This window comes from Homo sapiens, chromosome 2 (genome assembly GCF_000001405.40).
Source record: "Homo sapiens chromosome 2, GRCh38.p14 Primary Assembly".
Classification (NCBI taxonomy): domain Eukaryota; kingdom Metazoa; phylum Chordata; class Mammalia; order Primates; family Hominidae; genus Homo; species Homo sapiens.
This window is the reverse complement of record NC_000002.12, coordinates 71,249,705-71,254,657: the sequence shown is the minus strand read 5'-3', so window position 1 is coordinate 71,254,657 and position 4,953 is coordinate 71,249,705. Positions and strand designations below refer to the sequence as shown.

The following is a 4,953-nucleotide window of genomic DNA, read 5'->3' as shown; positions in this document are numbered from 1 at the left end:
AGCCTGGTCAACATGGCGAAACCCCGTCTCTATTAAAACTACAAAAATTAGCTGGGCATGGTGATGCATGCCTGTAATCCCAGCTACTCGGGAGGCTGAGGCAGGAGAATCACTTGAACCTGGGAGGTGGACGTTGCAGTGAGCCGAGATCACGCCACTCTACTCCAGCCTGGATGACAGAGCGAGACTCTGCCTTAAAAAAAAAAAAAAAAAAAAAAAAAATGAATATCAGGTCACATTATAGATGAGCAAGTGTGGAGATGTTGTTGTGGGCATCTGTAGAAAATACAATCTGCCACACAAATCATACCGCAACTGCCTGCAAGCCCAGTCTCCCCACCTGCCATCTCTCCCTGACCTCTGTGCTCCAGTCACACAAACTCCTGGCTGCTCCTTTCAGCACATGCCACTTCCTCCACTTACACACTCCTATACCTCCTTTAAGAGTTAGCTCAAGGACTGCTTACTGAAGGCAGACTTAGGCAAGCATAAATAAAAAATAATCCTATAAGCTTTCAAGCAGGGAAAATAAAAAACAGGTGGTGTTATAAGGGTTAAAATACATTTCTGAGGCCAGGCGCGGTGGCTTATGCCTGTAATCCCAGCACTTTGAGAGGTTGAGGCAGGCAAGCAGATCACCTATTATGTTCCCTTAACATGTGAACAAGTTTTATTTAATGTTCATGTATTTATTGAGTATCCACTATATGCCAGGCACACTTCAAGGTGCAGGGAATAGAATGAGATAGCAGGTGTTGTTTTGTCCCCACCCATATACCCACAGGCCTTACCATTATAGTGCACACCATCCCACTTTTAATTACCAGTATCTGCATCTCTTTGCCTGTTAACTCTCTTCAGCAAATATGGTGTGCCCATGGGCAAGTGGGCTCATCAGGCCAGAAGTACATAAGAATTAACACGCCCAGAAACAACCCTCATTCAGTGACTAACATGAGTTGGTGTATTAATAGCTCAGCAATCATACCCCTCAGAGTATATTCTTTGAGGCCCAGAGTTCCCATGCAGGATTAAGCTCCAGTTACCCACAGTGGTAACTTGCTTGATAATGTGTCCTTTATTGACTGCTTTCTCATTCCTGTCTCACTTCTTCATACTCTTACTGGCATTTCCTGGGATAATATCCCATATAAACAATCACACTCAAATTCTTGTCTGGGGTCTCTCCTGGGACATCCCAAACTAGGATAGATGGTTAAAATAATATATTTCTTTAAAATGCAAAGCCCTGACCTCATGAAGAAGGTATATAATAAATAAGTAGACAAATGAATGTGTGATTTTAGGAAATGAGAAGTGCTATGAAGAAAAATAAAAGACTAATGAATAGAGTCATTGGTAAGCTTAGGGGAAGGGATGCTATTTGAATAGTGTGGTCAGGGTGTTCCTTTGTTCTGAAGAAGTGACATTTGAGAGGCTTCAATGAAGTGAGCGAGACTTGAAAATGTCTAGAGAAAGAGCATTGTTGGCAAAGCACCTGAAGCAAGAATGGTTTCCACATGTTTGAGGAACAGCAAGAAGGCCAGTGGGGGCCCTCTCCTCTCCTTACCTATACTCTCTCTTTTGATGATGTCATCCAGGCTCCTTGGTTTAAATACTATCTATTTACTTTCAACTCCCATCGTCATATCTCCAGCTGGAACTCTTTCCTAGAATCCAGACTCGTAATACCTACCTAGTTCCATTTGGATTTCTAACAGACATCTCAAACTTAACTATTGGGATAACTGGTTAGCCATCTGGGCATTGTTGGGGGAGATTAGTTGAACCCCCACCTCAATTCCTAAATCAAATAGATAAATTCCAGATTATTTTTGCATTTAAATGTAAAAAGTTGAAACTGACATTAAAAGAAAATACAGTGAATATAGATAGAGGTGAAGGGCATTTTGAAGCATAAAACGAAAGTCTTAAATCCTAAAGAAGAACAGGTAAGTTTGCCCTACATAAGAATTTTTAAAACTTCTATGCAGGCATTTATTAATAAATATAGATGGGTAAATTATAAAGAAAAACAAGAGAATAATCAGCTTAAAATTCTATATAATAGTTACATTTTGGGGAGGAGGTAACTCAGCAATTTTACTTCTATAAATTATCCTATGGAATGAACAATACAAATTTCTAAAGATATATTTGCAAGGGTATTAATCCTCATATTTTATGTCAGGAATAACACAAAAATTAATAGGGAACCAGTTAAATACTTACGACAAACATACAACAATAGAATCCTATACATATATTGAAAATTATAGTCTAACTTTTCAAAAGAAGACATACACACAGCCAACAAGCATGAAAAAATGTTCAATGTCACTAATCATTAGAGAAATACAAACCAAAACCACAATGAGATACCGTCTTACACCAGTGAGAAGAGCTATTATTAAAAAGTGAAAAAATAACAGATGCTGGCAAGGTTGCAGAGAAAAAAAAAGCTTATACACTGCTGGTGGGAATATAAATTAGTTCTGCCATTGTGGAAAGCAGTTTGGCGATTTCTCAAAGAACTCAAAGCATAACTATTCAACCCAGCAATCCTATTATTGAGTATATGCCCGAAGGAGTATAAATCACTCTACCATAAAGACACATGCATGTGTACGTTCATTGCAGCACTTTTCACGATAGCAAAGATTTTAGAATCAACCTAAATGCCCATCAGTGGTAGACTGGATAAAGAAAATGTGGTACATATATACCATGGAATACTACACAGCCATCAAAAGAACAAGATCATGTCCTTTGTAGCAATATGGATGGAGCTAAAGGCCATTAGCCTAAATACATGAATACAGGAACATAAAACTAAATACCACATGTTCTTGTTTATAAGTGGGAGCTAAACACTGAGTACATATGGACACAAGGGAATAACAGACACTGAGGCCTACCTGATGATGGAGAGAGGGAGAAAGGTAAGGATCAAAAAACTACCTATCCAGTGTTATGCTTATTACCTGGGTGCTGAAATAATTTGTAAACCAAACCCCTGTGACATGCAATTTACATGTAACAAACATGTACAGGTACCCCTGAACCTAAAATGAAAGAAAAGAAAAATGATAGGGGATAGTTTCCAAGATGGCTGAAAAGGAAGAGCTCTGGTCTGCACCTCCCAGCGAGAATGACACAGAGGACGGGTGATTTGTGCATTTCCAACAGTGGTACCTGGTTCATCTCAATGGGACTGGTTGGACAGTGGGTGCAACCCACAGAGGGCGAGCTGAAGCTGAGGGGGCATCACCTCACCTGGGAAGTGCAAGGGGTCAGGGGATTTCCCTTTCCAAGCCAAGGGAAGCTGTGACAGACTGTACCTGGAGAAACGGTACACTCCTGACCAAGTACTGCACTTTTCCCACAGTCTTAACAACCGTCAAACCAGGAGATACCCTCGCATGCCTGGTTCAGCGGGTTCCACACCCACGGAGCTTGCTCACTGCTAGCGCAGCAGTCTGAGATCAACCTGCAAGGCTGCAGCCTGGCGGGGGGCAGGGGCGTCCCCCATTGCTGAAGCTTGAGTAGCTCACATTGTAAACAAAGAGGCCAGGAAGCACAAACTGGGTGGAGCCCACCACACCTCAGCAAGGCCTACTGCCTCTATAGATTCCACCTCTGGGGGCAGGGCATAGTATAACAAAAGGCAGCAGACAACTTCTGCAGACTTAAATGTCCCTGTCTGACAGCTCTGAAGAGAACAGTGTTTCTCTCAGCATGGTGTTCGAGCTCCAAAAATGGACAGACTGCCTCCTCAAGTGGGTCCCTGACCCCCGTGTAGCCAGACGGGGAAACACTTCCCCGTAGGGGCTGACAAACACCTCAAACAGGCGGGTGCCCCTCTGGGATGACGCTTCCAGAGGAAGGATCAGGCAGCAATATTTGCTGTTCTGCAGCCTCCGCTGGTGATACCCAGGCAAACAGGGTCTGGAGTGGACCTCCAGCAAACTCCAACAGATCTGCAGCTGAGGGGTCTGACTGTTAGAAGGACAACTAGCAAACAGAAAGGAATAGCATCAACATCAACAAAAAGGACAAAAACCCCATCTGTAGGTCACCAACATCAAAGACCAAAGGTAGATAAAAATCACAACGATGGGGAGAAACCAGAGCAGAAAAGGTGAAAATTCCAAAAAACAGAGCACCTCTTCTCCTCCAAAGGATCGCACCTCCTTGCCAACAAGAGAACAAAACTGGATGGAGAATGAGTTTGACGAGTTGTCGGAAGTAGGCTTCAGAAGGTCAGTAATAACAAACATCTCTGAGCTAAAGGAGCATGTTCGAACCCATTGCAAGGGAGCTAAAAACCTTGAAAAAAGGTTAGACGAATGGCTAACTAGAATAAATAATGTAGAGAAGACCCCAGATGACCTGATGGAGCTGAAAACCATGGCACGAGAACTTCATGATGCATGCACAAAGCTTCAACAGCCGATTTGATCAAGTGGAAGAAAGGATATCAGTGATTGAAGATCAAATTAATGAAATAAAGCAATAAGACAAGATTAGAGAAAAAAAGAGTGAAAAGAAATGAACAAAGCCTCCAGGAAATATGGAACTATGTGAAAAGACCAAATATATGTTTGATTGGTGTACCAGAAAGTGACGGGGAGAATGGAGCTAAGTTAGAAAACACTCTTCAGGATATTATCCAGGAGAACTTCCCCAACCTAGCAAGGCAGGCCAACATTCAAATTCAGGAAATACAGAGAACACCACAAAGATACTCCTCGAGAAGAGCAACCCCAAGACACATAATTGTCAGATTCACCAAGGTTGAAATGAAGGAAAAAAATGTTAAGGGCAGCCAGAGAGAAAGGTTGGGTTACCCACAAAGAGAAGCCCATCAGACTACCAGAGGATCTCTTGGCAGAAACCCTACAAGCCAGAAGAGAGTGGGGGCCAATATTCAACATTCTTAAAGAAAATAAT

General features: G+C 42.1%; 1 annotated feature.

Moving 5' to 3' along the window:
* Nucleotides 3,524-4,024: an enhancer, noted in NCBI's record as "H3K27ac hESC enhancer chr2:71477764-71478264 (GRCh37/hg19 assembly coordinates)". NCBI's record gives its function as "activates a minimal SCP1, AML or CMV promoter by ChIP-STARR-seq in primed H9 embryonic stem cells {active_cell/tissue: H9 hESC(primed)}" and the evidence as "EXISTENCE:reporter gene assay evidence [ECO:0000049][PMID:30033119]".